At 39.9% G+C, this 17,679-nt stretch overlaps 1 protein-coding gene across 11 annotated transcripts in view, besides 1 other annotated feature; it reads left to right on the top strand.

The window, feature by feature from the left end:
• Positions 1 to 17,679, top strand: part of SLC22A16 (solute carrier family 22 member 16) — a 51,927-nt gene that overhangs the window by 4,236 nt on the left and 30,012 nt on the right. For 6 of the 11 annotated variants that reach the window (XM_011536211.3, XM_047419435.1, XM_011536208.4 and 3 more), the window contains one exon: positions 15,361 to 15,478. In XM_011536211.3, the coding sequence (XP_011534513.1) occupies positions 15,361 to 15,478 (118 nt within the window). Of the gene's footprint in view, positions 1 to 15,360; positions 15,841 to 17,679 lie in introns of those variants that run through there. The other 5 variants (NM_033125.4, XM_011536205.3, XM_011536204.4 and 2 more) reach the window with 2 other exon arrangements.
• Positions 16,688 to 17,200: an enhancer, noted in NCBI's record as "NANOG hESC enhancer chr6:110776381-110776893 (GRCh37/hg19 assembly coordinates)". NCBI's record gives its function as "activates a minimal SCP1, AML or CMV promoter by ChIP-STARR-seq in naive H9 embryonic stem cells {active_cell/tissue: H9 hESC(naive)}" and the evidence as "EXISTENCE:reporter gene assay evidence [ECO:0000049][PMID:30033119]".

Below are 17,679 nucleotides of genomic sequence, written 5' to 3'. Positions count from 1 at the left end.
GCGAGTGGGGCAAGGGGGCCAGTGAAGACCTAGATAAGAGCCCAGGTGAGAGAGAAAGAGGGTCTGGAGAGTGGGAGTGTGGGCAGGGAGAACCAGACAGTTTTAGCAGGTGGAGTTGATGGGAGCTCTTGGCCCTAAGGCATGAAGGAGAAGTGAATGGGACCACATGCCCCTCCTAGCCCACCCCATGTCCCATGCCCTGGATTTCTAGTTTGTGTGGGTGATGGTAGCCTAAACTCAGAAAGTTACCCTCCAGGCGGGGCAGGCCTAGATATCGAGCTCAGTTTGAGATTGGTTTACCTTGAGTTCCTTGTGGGAATTCCAGGTGGAGACATCAAGTGGGAAGTTGGGTAGATAATCTGTTGCTCAGGGAAAATGCCCCCTTGTCAATATGGATCAGGTGGCCACCCAGGGCTGCAGTCCAGCTGGACCAGTGCCTTGTGGACAGATTAGGCATGCCTGGCACCTGTTCCAGCTGTGCCTCAGCAGGGGTGTTGCTGAATAGTTTTCCCTCTCCCTGGGCGCTGTAGATAGAAAACTTTTAAATTGATATATTACATATATGCAGAAAAGTGTCCACCATAATCTACAGCCTGATGAGTTGTCATACAGTGAACACACCTGTGTTACCCCCACCCAAATCATCTCCTCTTATGCCTTCTCCCAAGCCCTACTCCGTCCCTGTCCCCCAAGCTCACTACTGTCCTTACATCAACGATACTAAATGTTACATAAGTGGGGTAAAAGGCACTTGCCCTTTGGCTTCTTTTGTTCCACACTGTGTTTGTGAGATCCACCCATATTGTGTGTCACAGAGGTTAGTCGATTTTCACAGCTACATAGTATTTAATGGCACAAATATTTCACGGTTCATTCATTTACTGTCAACAGACGTTTAGACTGTGTCCAGGTTGGGCTTATATGAGTTGCCTTTCTTGCATTTGTCTTTTAGGGTAGGGTTATATTTTGCTTAACGACAGAGATACTTCTGAGAAGTTCATCGTTAGGTGATTTTGTTGTTCTGCAAACATCACAGATTTTATTTACACAAGCCTAGATGGTACAGCCTGCTACACATTTAGGCTCTATGGTATAGCCCACTGCTCCTAGACTACAAACCTGCACAGCATGTTATTGTACTGAATACTGTAGGCAATTGTAACACAATGGGAAGTATTTGTGTACCTAAACATGGAAAGGGTGTGGTAAAAATATGATATTAATATTATAATCTTATGGGACCACTGTTGTATATGTGGTTCATCATTGACCGAAACGTCGTTTTGTGGCATGTGGCTCTACCTGTGTATGCATTTCGCTGGGTAGATACCTAGGAGATGCTGTCACAGGCGGTGCATGTGGTCCCCTGCCAGAGAGTTTTGCAAAATGGTTATAACAAATGTCACCCTCACAAGCTGTTTATTGGTTTTTCAGTTGCTCCACAACAATTGTCCAGTATTTTGAATGTCAAACCTTGTACCAGTACATAGTTTAACCAGAAAACTAGATATCCTGGGGCAATGTTTTCATCCGTATCAGCATCTCCTAAGAAGCTTCTTAAGCTTGTAGGGGCCTTGACCCCACCTTAGACCTCCTGAATCACGATTGCTAAGAGGGGGACAGAAAAGACAAATCCTAGCTTCAGAGGCCTGCCAGGGTGGGTGCTGTGTTGGTGTATGTGTGTGTGTGCACAAGAGAAAAAGACACAAAGAGAGAAGGAGAGGGGAAGAGAGAGAGAGAATAGTTCTGGTGATGTGGTGATGACTGTGGGGGTCACTGGCTGAGGAAGAAAAAAACTGAGGCCAGGAAGGTAGAAACTAACTGAAGAAGCTGGTAGGATCTGAAGACTGGACGCCTGAATGGTGCTGGAAATGGGGTCAGTGGGAAGGATGGGGGAAGTAAGAGGGTGGGAGGTCATGCTCAGAACCTGAGCTTTTCAGTGGTGGAGCTGTTCCAGGTAGAGACTAGTTAGGGAACAAACCCAAATGCCTCAGGTAAACTTTAGGCAAGTTAAACATGCCTGCTGTTTGCAGGGGCTGTGTTGTCGTTTGCTGAGTTGAAATTTCAGGGATGGGAGTCAAATAATTATAAATATGTGCACCATACGTACATGATTTATGTTCTATTTCCAGTCATATTCATATGGGATTGTTATTATAGGGTGCTCCTTAGGCTCTCAACAAAATTTAGTTTCAAGAGGACCTGATTTTCATGCCTCTTATTGCCATGGTGTCTAGCGGGTAGATGCTGGCCCACCACAAGCCACACTGTAATGATCTGGATGGGGTGATTCTCAGACTAGGAATACTCCTTTAGTTAAAAACTACATGCTACCCTTTCCCTCTAGGATCTCCTAGGAGTATCTACACTTTTATCATACTTTCACCATAATTTCTTTAACCAGTCTCCTGTCAATGGACATTTCAGTTTTCTATGTTTTGCAGTTGCAGACACTGCTGAAAATAAAATTTATAAATTAACTTTGGGAGAGTTGATATCTTTGTGATGTTGACTACTGGTTACTTTTAGGGAAGTCAAGTTTTATTATTAACAAGAGCAGACAATAACACCCATTAGTGTAATGTCTTTTAGCAAAGCAGAGACAACTAGGTGCTTGATTTTACAAAAAATTAGTACATATGAACTGTTTCCTTAAGCAAGATTAATTTCCCACTTTATTTACATCAGCGATTCACTAAGCAAAGATTTTTTTTAGTTTGTCAGCTGGCTCACAAACTCTGATGTATGTTGGGATGATTAAATGAGATAATGAGTGTGAACATGCTTTAAAGTATGATCCAATATAAGGTGTTAGTATTTATTTATTTTTGAGACAGGGTCTCTCTCTGTTGCCCAGGCTAGAGTGCAGTGGCACGATCTTGGCTCACTGCAACGTATGCTTCCAGGTTCCAGCTATTCTCATGCCTCAGCCTCCTGAGTAGCTGGGACTACAGTCACCCGCAACTGCCTGGCTAATTTTTGTATTTATAGTAGAGATGGAGTTTCACCATTTATAGTAGAGATGGGGTTTCACCAGGAGTTCAAGGCTGGTCTTGAACTCCTGACCTCAAGTGATCCGCCTCAGCATCCCAAAGTGCTGGGATTATAGGCATGAGCCACTGCGCCCGGCCTAAGATGTTAGTATTATGCACAGTGACCAAGACAATGCTGAATAAGCTGCCACGTACAGTACAGGCAGGAGTGAATAGAGTAGAGTAAAGAGGGGAGAATTGACTTCTGCTGTGTAAGATGAAGCCCATCTACAATCTGTGCAATAGAAGCAGACTGGATGGCACTGTAGGGTCAAGGAGTCTCTTAAGAGAGCCATTCTTATTGCCTGGAAGATGCCTCTTGAGAAAATGACAGGGAAGGAAGAAACACCTTCTGAATGGACAAGCCTGCTTCCCAAGGGCAGGTGACCCACCAGCCATGCTAGGTGCTCACCCCCATGAGGCCACAGGCAATATAGCAACCCCAAGGCTCTGTGGTGACACGGCAGCCAGTGCAGGGGCTGGGGACGAGGGATTCTGACCTGCAGGTGTGAGGGTCAGCACCACTCATCTTCAAGCCAAGATGTTAGCCTGTGGGGTCTTTTGAGCAAGAGCAACACCGGCCTGTCTTCTCAGCCTACTGTTCCTGCCCAACCCCTCTGTCTAGGATGGACTGAGGCTGATTTCTTTTTTTCTTTTTCTTCTTCTTCTTCTTCTTCTCCATTTTGTTTTTTTTTTTTTTGAGACAGAGCCTCGCTCGCTTACCCAGGCTAGAGTGCAGTGGTGTGATCTTGGCTGACTGAAACCTCCGCCTCCCAGATTCAAGCAATTCTCCTGTCTCAGCCTCCTTAGTAGCTGAGACTACAGGCACGTGCCACTATGCCTGGCTAGTTTTTGGCATTTTTAGTAGAAACAGGGTTTCACCATGTTGGCCAGGCTTGTCTTGAACTCCCAACCTCAGGTAATCCACCTGCCTTGGCCTCCCAAAGTGTTGGGATTACAGGCATGAGCCACCATGCCTGGCCTGATTTCTGATCATTTTACTACTGGCAGGGACATATTAATGTTTTTGGAAAAAACAGAGCTAGCTCCCATTAGCCCATCAAGCACTGGGGCTCCAAGCTCTTCTGTTGGCTGCCCATCCCAAAGAGACCCTAAGAATAGGAATTAGTGTGTTCTTTCTCATCCTGGAGCTAGAAGAACACTACTTACTTCCCGCCTGCATTTTGCTTTGTAGTTTTCTTTCGTGGACTAGCTAGCTACAAGGGCCAATGCCATAGATAGAATTCAGTTTTGAAACTGTGGCCAACATGACCAGCCTGTGGTGTCCTGATAGCCACAAGACTTCAAATTCATTCCATTTAACCTATTATTTATCTACATGAGGTTCTATGAGAAGTGAGGAATGGTGGCTACATGCCAGCCTGGCAGTTATCTGTGAGGACTTGGAGAGGTCACTAGGTTGTGATAGTCTCCAAAGTGGGGTGTGTTCACCAGTGGGCGGTAGAGATGATCCCTTGGACTGCCACCAGAAAACACCCATTTTATATATGAATGTGTGCATAGAAGTCAATATGTACAAATAGAAGTTTATATTTCAATATACATAATAAGTTAATTTAGCATTATATGAATATGTGTGTGTATACATGTTCACTTTATATGTCTACATGCACATCTGTGCACACATACACTTTTTAAAATTTAACTGATGGGGGACCCAGGCTAAATTTTTGGATACACTGGCCTATTGAACATCTCTCTTTAGCAGAGTACTGAGTATGAGTCAATTTCAGCACTGTTCATTTTCAGCCCAAGGTATTCTCCAGCATTCTATAGCCACTGCACTACACACTGTGCTGGGTGCTACAGGAGATACTAAAGTGACTGAACCACAGTTTCTGCTCTGATGAGACTTTAACTCAACCTTTTATAGGACTTCTGTTGTTGGTTTGGTAGAGAAATAGAAAACATTCACCTGGTGTTCTTTAAAAAAATCAACATAAATAACAGAATGGTACTTCAGCTGCATATTGTGTTCATAGAAGAGAAGGAAGAGAAGGAAAAGTGGGGACTAGAAAATGCATAAATGAGTGAGAATGGGAAAGGCGGAAGCAAGTAAAAAGACAGGACTGAGAGAAGCTGGCAGTGAAGGATAAAGAGACTGAAAATCGGCATTTAGGTTGGAGGGAAAAAAAACGCAGAGAGAGAGGAGTATGAGAGGAACAGGCTAGACCAGCAGGTCTCAAAATGTGAGAATTCTTGTAGGTCTTTGAAGTCTGCAAGGGTAAAACTTTTTTCTAGCAATACTAAGATATTAGCTGTCTTTTTAAAAACTCTCATTCTCTCATGAAAGTACAGTAGAGTTTTCCAGAGGCTAGATGATGTGTAATAACTCATCAGATTGAATGCAGATTATCTATCTATCTATCTATCTATCTATCTATCTATCTATCTATCTATCTATCTATCTATCACATTTTCTTTATCCAGTTAACCACTGATGGACTCTTAGGTTGATTCTTTGGCTTTGCAATCGTGAATAGTGCTGTGATAAACAGACAAATGCAGGTGTCTTTTTGATATAATGATTTCTTTTCCTTTGGGTAAATACCCAGTAGTGGGATTGCTGGATCAAATGGTAGTCCTATTTTTAGTTCTTTGAGAAATCTTGATAATGTTTTCCATAGGGGTTGTACTAATTCATATTCCTGCTAACAGTGTATAAATGTTCCCTTTTCTCCACAGTCTCACTAATATCTGTTATTTTTGACTTTTTAATAATAGCTATTCTGAATGGTATGAGATGGTATCTCATTGTGGTTTTAATTTGCATTTCTCTGATGATTAGTGATATTGAGCATTTTTTCCTGTTTGTTGGCTGCTTGTATGTCTTCTTTTGGAAAATGTCTGTTTATGTCCTTTGCCTACTTTTTAATGGTTTTTTTTTGTATTAATTTGAGTTCTTTATGGATTCTGGATATTAGCTCTTTGTTGGATGCATAGTTCGGTTTGCAAATATTTTTCCCATTCTGTAGGTTATGTACTCTATCGATTGTTTCTTTTGCTGTGCAGAAGCTTTTTAGTTGAATTAATTCCCATTTGTCTATTTTTGGTTTTGTTGCATTTGCCTTTGAGGACTTGGTCATAAATTCTTTGCCTAGGCTAATGTCCAGAAGAGTTTTTCCTAAGTTTTCTTCTAGGACTTTTTGAGTGTCAGGTCTTACATTTAGGCCTTTAATTCATCCTTAGTTAATTTTTGTATATGGTGAGAGATAGGGATCCAGTTTCATTCTTCTGCATATAGCAAGCCAGTTTTTCCCAGCACCATTTATTGAATAGAGAGTCCTTTTCCCATTGTTTATTTTTGTTGATTTTGTTGACGATCAGTTGGTTGTCAGTGTGTGGCTCTATTTCTGGATTCTCTATTTTGTTCCATTGGCTTGTGTGTCGATTTGTGTACCAGTTCCATGCTGGTTTGGTTACTATAGCCTTGTAGTATAGTTTGAAGTCAGGTAATGTGATGCCTCTGGCCTTGCTCTTTTTGCTTAGGATTGCTTTGGCTATTTGGGCTCTTTTGTGGTTCCATGTGAATTTTAGAATAGTTTTTTCTAATTCTGTGAAAAATAATGCTGATTCTATAGGAATTGCATTGAATTTGTAGATTGCCTTGGGCAGTATGGTCACTTAAATGGTATTGATTCTTCTAATCCATGAGCATGAGATGTTTTTCCATTTTTTGTGTCACTTCTGATTTCTTTCATTAGTGTTTTGTAGTTCTCCTTGTAGAGGTCTTTTACTTCTTTGGTTAAGTGTATTCCTAGGTATTTTGTGTGTTTGTGTGGCTATAATAAATGGGATTGACTTTTTGATTTAGTTTGCAGCTTGAGTGTTGTATAGAAATGCAACTGATTTTTGTACATTAATTTTGTTTCTTGAAACTTTACTGAAGTTGTTTATCAAGTCTAGGAGTCTTTTGGAGGAATCTTTAGGATTTTTCTAGGTATAAGATCATGTTATCAGGGAACAGAGATAATTTCACTCTTTTTTTCAGTTTGGATACCTTTTGTTTCTTTCTTTTACCTAATTGCTATGTTTAGGACTTCTAGTACTGTGCTATTTAGGAGCTGTAAGAGTGAAATCCTTGTCTTGTTCTAGTTCTGAAGAGGAATGCATTTTACTTTTCCCCATTCAGTATGATGTTGGCTACGGGTTTGTTATATATGGCTCTTATTATTTTGAGGTATGTTACTTTGATGCCTAGTTTGTTGAGTTTTTTTTTTTTTTATCATGAAGGGATGTTGGATTTTATCAAATGCTTTTTCAGCATCTATTGAGTTGACCTTATGTCTTTTGTTTTTAATTTTGTTTACGTGGTGAATGACATTAATTGACTTGCATATGTTGAACCATCTTGGCATCCCTAAAATAAAACTCATCTGATTGTGATGGATTATCTTTTTGATGTGCTGTTGGATTCAGTTTGCTAGTATTTTGTTGAGGATTTTTGTATCTATGTTCATCAGAGATATTGGCCTGTAGTTTTCTTTTTTGATGTGTTCTTATCAGATTTTGGTATCATTATGATACTGGTTTCATAGAATTATTTATGGAGGAATTCCTCTTCCTTAATTTTCTGGAATGATTTCAGTAAGATTGGTTCTAGCTCTTTGTACATCTGATAAAATTCAACTGTGAATCCGTCTGGTCCTGGGTTCTTTTTTTGTTGTAGTTGTTACATTTTTTTGTTACTGATTCAATTTCATTACTCGTTATTGGTCTGTTCAGAATTTCTATTTCTCTTGAGGGGTTGTATGCTTCCAGAAATTTATTCATGTACTCTGGGTTTTCTAGTGTGTGCACTTAGAGATGTTCATAGTAGTCTCTGATGATCCTTTGTGTTTCTGTGTTATCAGTTGTAATGTTACTTTTATCATTTCTGATTGTGCTTATCTGAATCTTCTCTTTTTCTTTGTTAGTCTAGCTAGCCGTCTAACAATTTTGTTTACCTTTTCAGAGAACCAACTTTGTGTTTTGTTGATCCTTTGTATGATTTTTTTGGTTTCAATTTAATTGAGATCAAATCTTCTCTGATCTTTGTTATTATTCTTTTCTTCTGCTAGCTTTGTGTTTGGTTTGTTCTTGATTTTCTAGTTCCTTGAGGTGTGGCATTAATGGTTGTTAATTTGAGATCTGTCTTTTTGATTTGAGCAATTAATGCTATAAGCTTTCCTCTTAGCACTGCTTTTGCTGTATCCCAGAGGTTTTGGTATGTTGTGTCTGTTTTCATTCATTTCAAAACATTTTTTTGATTTCTGCCTTGATTTTATGGTTTACCCAAAAGTCATTCAGGAGCAAGTTGTTTAGTTTCCATGTACTTCTGTGGTTTTGAGAGTTTCTCTTGGTATTGATTTCTAATTTTATTCCTCTGTGGTCTGGGAAGATCCTAATATGATTTTGACTTTTTTTTTTTTGCATTTATTGAGACTTGCTTTATGGGCAAGCATATGGTGAATTTTAGAGAATGTTTTATGCACAGATGAGAAAAATGTATATTCTGTGGTTGTTGGGTGGAATGTTCTGTAGGTGTCTCTTAGTCCATTTGGTCAAGTTTATATAATCAAATCGACAGATCAAGCTCAATGATCTGTCATCATTGACAGCTTATTGCTGTCAGTATGGTATTGAAAGTCCCTCACTCTTTTATATGACTGTCTATCTCTTTTTGTAAGTCTAATAGTATTTGTTTTATAAATCTGGGTGCTCTGATGCTGGGTGCATATGTATTTAGGATAGTTAAATCTTTTTGTTGAATTAGACCGTGTATCATTGGATAATGCTATTCTTTGTCTTTTTTTTTTTTTTTTTTTTTTACTGTTGTTACTTTAGAGACTGTTTTATCTGATATAAGAAGAACAACTCCTGCTCCTTTTTGTTTTCCATTTGCATGACATATCTTTTTACCCCCCTTTACTTTAGGCTATGGGTATCTTTACATATTAAGTGGTCTCTTGTAGGTAGCAGATGGTTGGGTCTTTTTAAAAAAAAATCCATTTTGCTCATCTATATCCTCTAAGTGGAGCATTGAGGCTGTTTACATTTAGGGTTAATAATGATATGTGAGGTTTTGTTCCTGTCAGAGTTTTGTTAGCTAGTTGCTTTGTAGTGTCAATTGTGTAATTGCTTTATGGGATCTGTGAACTTTCTACTTATGTGTGATTTTACTGTGGCAAGTATTGTCCTTTCATTTCCATGGTTATAACTTCTTTAAGCAGTTCTTATAGAACTGGTCAAGTGGTGATTAATTCCCTTAGTGTTTGCTTGTCTGGGAAAGACTTTATTTCTCCTTCTTTTATGAGGCTTATTTGGCAGGATATAAAATTCTTGGGAGGCTTTTTTTTTTCCTTTAAGAAGGCTATAAATAGGCCCCCAATCTGTTCTGGCTTGTAAGATTTCTACTGAGACGTCTCATTAGTCTGACAGGATTTCTTTTTATAGGCGATCTGACACTTCTCTCCAGATGCCTTTAAGATTTTTTTCTTTAGCATTAAACTTGGATAGTATGATGACTATATGCCTTGGTGACATTCATCTTTTATAGTATCTCCCAGATATTCTCTGAATTTCTTGCATCTGAATGTCTACCTCTATAGCAAGATCAGGGAAATTTTCCTGAATTATTCTCTTAAATATAATTGCTTACTTTTTCTTCTTCTCTCTCAGGATTACATATAAGTCATACATTTGGTCCCTTTACATAATTGCATATTTCTCAAAGACTTTATTCATTAAAAAATTCTTTTTTCTTTATTTTTGTTTGACTTGTTAAAATAGAAAGATTGGTCTTCAAGCTCTGAAATTATCTTTTCTGCTTGGTCTAGTCTTTCACTATAGTTAAAGTTTAATATATCTATTTTGTCTTTCATGTCCTAAGTTTTTGGGGGTTGATTTTCAGCTTTCTTTTGCATCTCAGTGAGCTTTCTTACAATCCATATTTTGAATTCTTTATCTGTCATTTCAGAATTTTCATTTTAGTTAGGATCCATTGCTAGAGAGCTAGTAATGTTTGGAGGTGTCAAAACACTTTGTCTTTTTGTATAGCTGGAGCTTTTATGCTGATTCCTTCTCATCTGAAGGAGCTTGATATAGTTTGGTTCTGTGTCCCACCCAAATCTCATCTTTTAACTCCCATAATTCCCACGTGTTGTGGGAGGGATGTGGTGAGAGATGATTGAAACATGGAGGCAGGTATTTCCCGTGCTGTTCTTGTGACAGTAAAAGGGTCTCACAAGATCTGATGGTTTTAAAAATGGGAGTTTCTCTGCACAAGCTCTCTCTTTGCCTGTTGCCATCCATGTAAGATGTGACTTGCTCCTCCTTGCCTTCTGCCATGATTGTGAGGCCTCCCCAGCCTTGTGGAACTGTAAGTCCAATAAACCTCTTTCTTTTGTAAATTGCCCAGTCTTGGTATGTCTTTATCAGCAGCATGAAATTGGACAAATACAGAGCTGTTGCCTCCTATTTTTGAATTTGCCAACATTTGAATGAAACTTTTAAAGTTTGTATTCTTTTTTCACTTGAGGGTGTGGCTGTAGTATATATTGCGTATGATTGTTTGGCTTTGTTTCTGGGTGCTTTCAGGGGGCCAAGGGTCTCTATGGGTTCCTTGGTTATGGATATCATTTGTGTGGTGGCTTTCCCAGATGCTGCTTGTTGCAGTGATATGTAGGGTGTATGAGCTGACACACTATCTTCTGTAGGGCTAGGAGTGTGGAGGTCTCAGGAAGCTTATCTCATACACTAGCACTGTGCTCTTCTGACAGCAGGTTTTTTGTTTGATGATGCAGTTCAGTCTCTAGTCCAGTAAGTGACGCTTGAGGGTAAGAAGAGCTAGCTCACCCTCAGGTCATCCAAAGATGAGTGGAAGCCCCTTCCTTGATGGGGGTTCTGAGGTCTCAGGGGTAGGGGCCAGCAGGGGGCTGCACCAGCTCCTCATCCTGGGCAGACAAGAACATGATCCACTACCTATCATGCCCCTTTCACAGCACTCATAACCCTCAGTTCTTTTAAACACTGTCCTTTGGCTCCTGGCCACTCCTGAGGTCTGTGAGAAGGCTTCGATTGTGGCTACCACCAAAATGGCCTCGGGTCAGAGCCTCTTTCTCCAGTCCAGAACAGTCAGCTCTGTGGCTTGTCTGTCCTCTGTTGCAGGGACATTGCTACTTTGTGTAGGGAGCGGTAGATGGGCCCTGCCTTTTCTGAAAGCCCAGGCAGTACCACCTCACTTTCAGTGGGGATGCAGCCACTGTGAAAAGTGCTAGAAAGCCTTTCTTCAATTGCACGAATGCCAGCTTCCAGCAGGGAAAGCCTCTGCTGCATCTGCAACAGTGAATGGGTGGAGTAGGAAATAGTCCCCTCTCCATGTCCCTTCCCAGCTACTACTACCGCCCCTTTCAGAGATTGGTCCTGTGCCTGCATTTCCTTTGTCCCAAGGAGCACTTTGGTGGGCTGTGCTCCCCCTAGAAGAAACCTGCACTGAGGGCTAGATTTCTGGGGTTCCCGCAGCTCCCCAGGGTCCTGCTGGTCCCCCATGGTTGCCAAAGTCAGAGTGGTTGTGGGGTATGTTTCTGGGGGATCTGGTGATACAATATCACAAAGGCTGAGGTTGCTTGGGCAGGGCAGTGGCTCAGAACAGGTGCACAACCAGTATGGTGTCCACCATCTCAGTTCAGGCCTGAGGGGAGTGCCAGCACACCTGCATGAGTTGGTCACCTGGCACTCTATTCTCAGGAAGTTCCCAAATCACCACTGACAGCATTGCCCAGGGTCACGAAGGCAGAGGGGCTCTCCCACAATTTGGTAGTCAGCAGTTTGTTACAGGGGTGAGGTGAGAAGGGATGCACCCCTATCCACCCTTTCTGTAAGACTCCAGGCTCCCCAGGGGCCAGTCTCTGCCAGATTCTTGCTGTTTTCCTTTTCTCTGCCCCAGCTTCTTCCTGTGGGCTCCCTGGCAGACCTTGGCTCTCTTTCCTCCTCTCTTTCTCCATTTTAATTTCTAATATATAAAAGGTGATAAATATGATCCACATAAAGAAAGTCCTTTTGGAATCCTCAAAATTTGTAAAAATATAGAGGCTCTTGAGACCAAAAAGTGTGAGAACTGCTGAGCTGAGGGATGGTCAGAAGCATCTTCCAGTGAGAGGGAGCATCAGGATGCAGCGGGGTGGGCAGGTCTGCAAAGGAAGAAGGGCGATGGAGATCACATGTGTCAATGGTGCAATTTGACCTCAGTTTGATCGGACAGGACCTATTTCCTACCTCCCATTTTAATGGTTTTATAGGAATGTTGGTGATTGCCTTAACTGATTCTGTTTTCAATCTAAATAATTAAGTCACCTGTTCAAAGGTCTGCTATGCCTCTTAATTTCAGGGGTTGGAATTTTGTGGGGTAATCCAAATTTTATCTGTTCTATCCTGTTGTCCTGTGGGCATAATTGTCCTTATGCGGTGATTTTTTACTTCAGAAAATATGTCACTGTTGGTTTGAGTCTATAAATTTGGAGACTCTATTTTTTTAAATTTTTAAATAAACTTTTTATTTTTTGATAATTTTAGATTTATGGAAAAGTTACACAGATAGTACAGAGTCCCCATATGACCCTCACCCAGTTTCCCCTATTGTTAACATCTTACATTACCATATTTGTCAGAACTAACAAACTGATATTAATATGTTACTATTAACTAACTATATACTTCATTTGAATTTCACCAGTTTTTCCAAGTGTCCTCTTCCTGTTCCGGGATCCAGTCCCAGAGCACCACACTGCATTTAATTGTCTGTAGCAGTCTCTCAGTCTTTCTTTATTTTTTGTGACCTTGGCAGTCTTTAGGTATATTGGCCAGGTAACCTGTAGATGACCCCCAATCTGGGGTCTTTTTTTAAATTATTAAACTAAGGTTATGGTTTTTGGAAAGACAACAACAGAGATGAAGTGCCCTTCTCATCAGATCATAGGAGGGATACAGCATATCCACATGACGTCACTGGGGATGTTAACCTTCATCACTTGGTGACTTTAGTGTTTGCAAGTTTCTAGGTTTCCCCACTGTAAAGATACTATTTTTCCTCTTTTCCTGCTTTGTTCTTTAGAAGCAAGTTACTAAGCCTAGCCCACCCTTTAGGAGTAAATTGCGGGAATTAAACTCTACTTCCTGGAGAGAGGGAATGTCTACAGATAGTAATTGAATTCTAATGTAAGAAAGATTGGTCTCTTCTCCCTCTTTTATTTTTTCATTCATTTATTTATATGAGTATGGTGTATTGTATTTGTCAGGCTTCTCCAGAGAAAGAGAACAAATAGGATACACACACACACACACATACACACACACACATATATGAGACTTATTATAGGAGTTGGCTTACATGGTTATAAAGGCTGAGAAGTCTCATGACCTACTATCTGCAAGCTGGAGAACTAGGAAAGCTAGTGGTGTAATTCAGTCCCAGACTGAAGGCCTGGTGTAAGTCTTCATCTAATTCCAAAAACCCAAGAACCAGGAGCTCTGATATTTGAGAACCAGAGAATATGGATGTCCCAGCTCATGCAGAGAATAAATTTGCTCTTCCTTCACCTTTTTGTTTTATTCAAGCCCTCAAGTGATTGGATGATGCCCACCTCAACTGGTGAGGGTGATCTCTACTTAGTCTACTGATTCATACGCTAATCTCTTCCAGAGACACTCTCACAGACACACCCAGAAATAATGTTTTGCCAGCTATCTGGGCTTCCCTTAACCCAGTCAAGTTAACACATAAAATTAACCACACAGTATGAATTCATGTATATTTATTTTATGCTTTGGGATATACTATGCCATTTATTTTGTTGCTCAAATTGTTTCAGCTTCCAACTGGCTGTAGGGGCCAGCCTTACAGGGTCTGTGGGTTTTTCTCCCCATGTGTGGAGACGAGAGATCGTAGAAATAAAGACACAAGACAAAGAGACAAAAGAAAAGACAGCTGGGCCTGGGGGACCCCTACCACCATGACACAGAGACTGGTAGTGGTCCTGAATGTCAGGCTGCACTGTTATTTATTGGATACAAGACATGGGGGCAGGGTAAAGAGTGTGAGCCATCTCCAATGATAGGTAAGGTCACGTGGGTCACGTGTCCAGTGGACAGGGGGCCCTTCCCTGTTTGGCAACCGAGGCGGGGAGAGAGAGAGAGAGAGAGGAGACAGCTTATGCCATTATTTCTGCATATCAGAGACTTTTAATATTTTCACTAATTCTGCTACTGCTATCTAGAAGGCAGAGCCAGGTGTATAGGATGGAACATGAAAGCAGACCAGGAGCGTGACCACTGAAGCACAGCATCACAGGGAGATGGTTAGGCCTCCAGATAACTGCAGGCAGGCCTGACTGATGTCAGGCCCTCCACAAGAGGTGGTGGAGTAGAGTCTTCTCTAAACTCCCCTGGGGAAAGGGAGACTCCCTTTCCTGGTCTGCTAAGTAGCGGGTACTTTTCTTTGGCACTGACGCTACTGCTAGACCATGGTCCGCTTGGTAACGGGCATCTTTCCAGACACTGGCATTACCTCTAGATCAAGGAGCCCTCTGGTGGCCCTACCCGGGCATAACAGAAGGTTCACACTCTTGTCTTCTGGTCACTTCTCACCATGTCCCTTCAGCTCCTGTCTCTGTATGGCCTGGTTTTTCTTAGGTTATGGTTGTAGAGCTAGGATTATTATAGTATTGAAATAAAGAGTAATTACTACAAACTAATGATTGGTGATACTTATATATAATCATGTCTATGATCTATATATATCTAGCATAACTCTTGTTATTTTATATATTTTATTATATGGAACAGCTCGTGCTCGGTCTCTTGCCTCGGCACCTGGGTGGCTTGCCACCCACAGCTGGCCACTGGGAACTTTTTCAGGTTGCTACTTGGGCCCCTTTCATATGCCCTTATCCTTTTGTTTTTTGAGTATTTCCTTACTTTATGGTATTGTAAGATATTCCAGGCTTATTTTGTATTCTTCTTTTCCTGGCTTTAGAATCAGCCACTTTTTCTGGCTCCTCTCATTGGAGAATGGTATTTAGAAACTAAGATCTGGGCAATGGGTGTGCTTGCTGCTCTTGGGATGTCATTGCTTCTAGGCCTTCTCAGTAGATGGAGCTAAGTAATATATGTATATATACTAACCCACAGATATAAATATGTCTATAATTATTTCTATATTTATCCATTCGTGTATATGTTAAGATAAACATGATGGAGACCCTTCAAATTTGCTTATGTTCTTTTTCAGCCTATAGACCAGATATAATAATTAGCTTTTCTTCTCTTGCAGATTCCAGAGAGTCCTCTATTTCATATGTGCCTTCCAGAACATCTCTTGTGGTATTCACTACTTGGCTTCTGTGTTCATGGGAGTCACCCCTCATCATGTCTGCAGGCCCCCAGGCAATGTGAGTCAGGTTGTTTTCCATAATCACTCTAATTGGAGTTTGGAGGACACCGGGGCCCTGTTGTCTTCAGGCCAGAAAGATTATGTTACGGTGCAGTTGCAGAATGGTGAGATCTGGGAGCTCTCAAGGTGTAGCAGGAATAAGAGGGAGAACACATCGAGTTTGGGCTATGAATACACTGGCAGTAAGAAAGAGTTTCCTTGTGTGGATGGCTACATATATGACCAGAACACATGGAAAAGCACTGCGGTGACCCAGTGGAACCTGGTCTGTGACCGAAAATGGCTTGCAATGCTGATCCAGCCCCTATTTATGTTTGGAGTCCTACTGGGATCGGTGACTTTTGGCTACTTTTCTGACAGGTAAAATCAAATATTTAGGATTGTTGTATCAGTGTAGGGTTTATTTTCCTATCTGGTTTTCTTGGGACACAAGGAATTATGTTTAAAACTTGTCATTTTTATACTTCCTATCTAAATACCTACCTCTTTGCTGATCCATTATTTAGGGATGTATAATGATAAGGATAGGCTCTGAAGACAGTATACCTAGATCCAAATCCTGGTTCTACCACTTATTAACTGTGGACCCCAGGCAAATTGCCTAACTTACCTGTGTTTCAGAATCTTTGTCTATAGGCTGGTGATAAAAAATAATATCACTTACTTCAAAGGATTATTGCAAAATTAATACAGAAAAAAAGTACCCTGGACATATAATCACTCAATAGATACGGTTTATTACTTTGAATATTTTCTTCTCTTTAAATAGACTTGCTTTTTAATAGGAGTAGCCTGATCCTAAGCAGTATATCTGTAAAATTATGGGCTTGATATAACAGCCCCTTTTAGTCTTTTTGTGCTGCTGTAACAAAATACCACAGACTGGGTAATTCACAAACAATAGAAATTTATTTCCCATAGTTCTGGCGGCTGGGAAGCCCAAGATAAGGTGCCAACAGGATTGCTGACTGGGAAGGCTGTTGTTTGCTTTCAAGATGGTGCCTTATTGCTGCATCCTTTGGATGGGATAAATGCAGTGTCCTCACATGGAAGAAGGGATGGAAGGGCAGGAGAGTGCTCCCTTCAACCTTGAGCACTTTTCTAAGGGTGCTAAGGGCTCTACTGTCATGACTTTATCACCTCCCAAGGCCATCCCTCTTAATAGTGTTGCACTGGAGATTAAGTTTCAACATGAATTTTGGAGGGAATACTATCATTCAAAGCATAACCTGGCCATATATTTTTAAAAATTTACATTAAAATGAATATGTAATTCTTAAAATAAAGCAAAGTTTATCTCTGTATGAACATGGACCATACCAAAGCACAGAGATGAACTTATTTGGTCTCCATAGTTGTGGATTTTACAGTCATATGGTGGGCACTGAGGACCTAAAGACAATAGCTTAGATCAGAAATCCCTGCCCTTGAGGTATACCAGTCTAATGGGGCTGATAAACATGTCAAAAGAAAAATTAAAGGGCTTTGTTATGGGCAGGGCCATACCTCTCATAGTATGTCAAAGGTGCTAGGTATTAGTGTTTTCATTCAGCAAGCTGTTATACAAATTATCACTTGGGGCTTTTCTGTTGAAATGTGTTCACTGCTTGACTCTTGAAACTCAAAATATTTGCAACTACTTGTATGAAATGTACTAAAATACATTTGCTGTATGACAAAAACGGGATATAAATAATGCTTATAACACAGTCAGAGTACAAAATATGTTAACTGAAAATAAATTTAGTTCCTTTGTCTGAACTTGGTATAGTTATATAGACATATATTGAACACTTACAGTCACTTTGATAGATGCAGAGATGTGTGTGTATATATATATATAATATATAAATAAAAAATATATTAGTGAAATTATATATATATTTCACTAATTATATGTACATATAATATAAATATATTATATGTACATGTAATATATAATATATATTTATATATTATATATATTATAATATATATATTATATATAATATAACATATATTATATATATTATAATATATATATTATATATAATATAACATATATTATATATATTATAATATATATATTATATAATATAACATATATAATATATATATTATATATATTTATATATTTATATATATTTATATATATAAATGTATATAATAATATATATATTATATGTACATATAATATATATAAAATATATATACAAAAAA

This window comes from Homo sapiens, chromosome 6, assembly GCF_000001405.40.
Source record: "Homo sapiens chromosome 6, GRCh38.p14 Primary Assembly".
In the NCBI taxonomy this organism is placed as follows: domain Eukaryota; kingdom Metazoa; phylum Chordata; class Mammalia; order Primates; family Hominidae; genus Homo; species Homo sapiens.
This window is presented reverse-complemented; position numbering and strand designations above follow the sequence as displayed.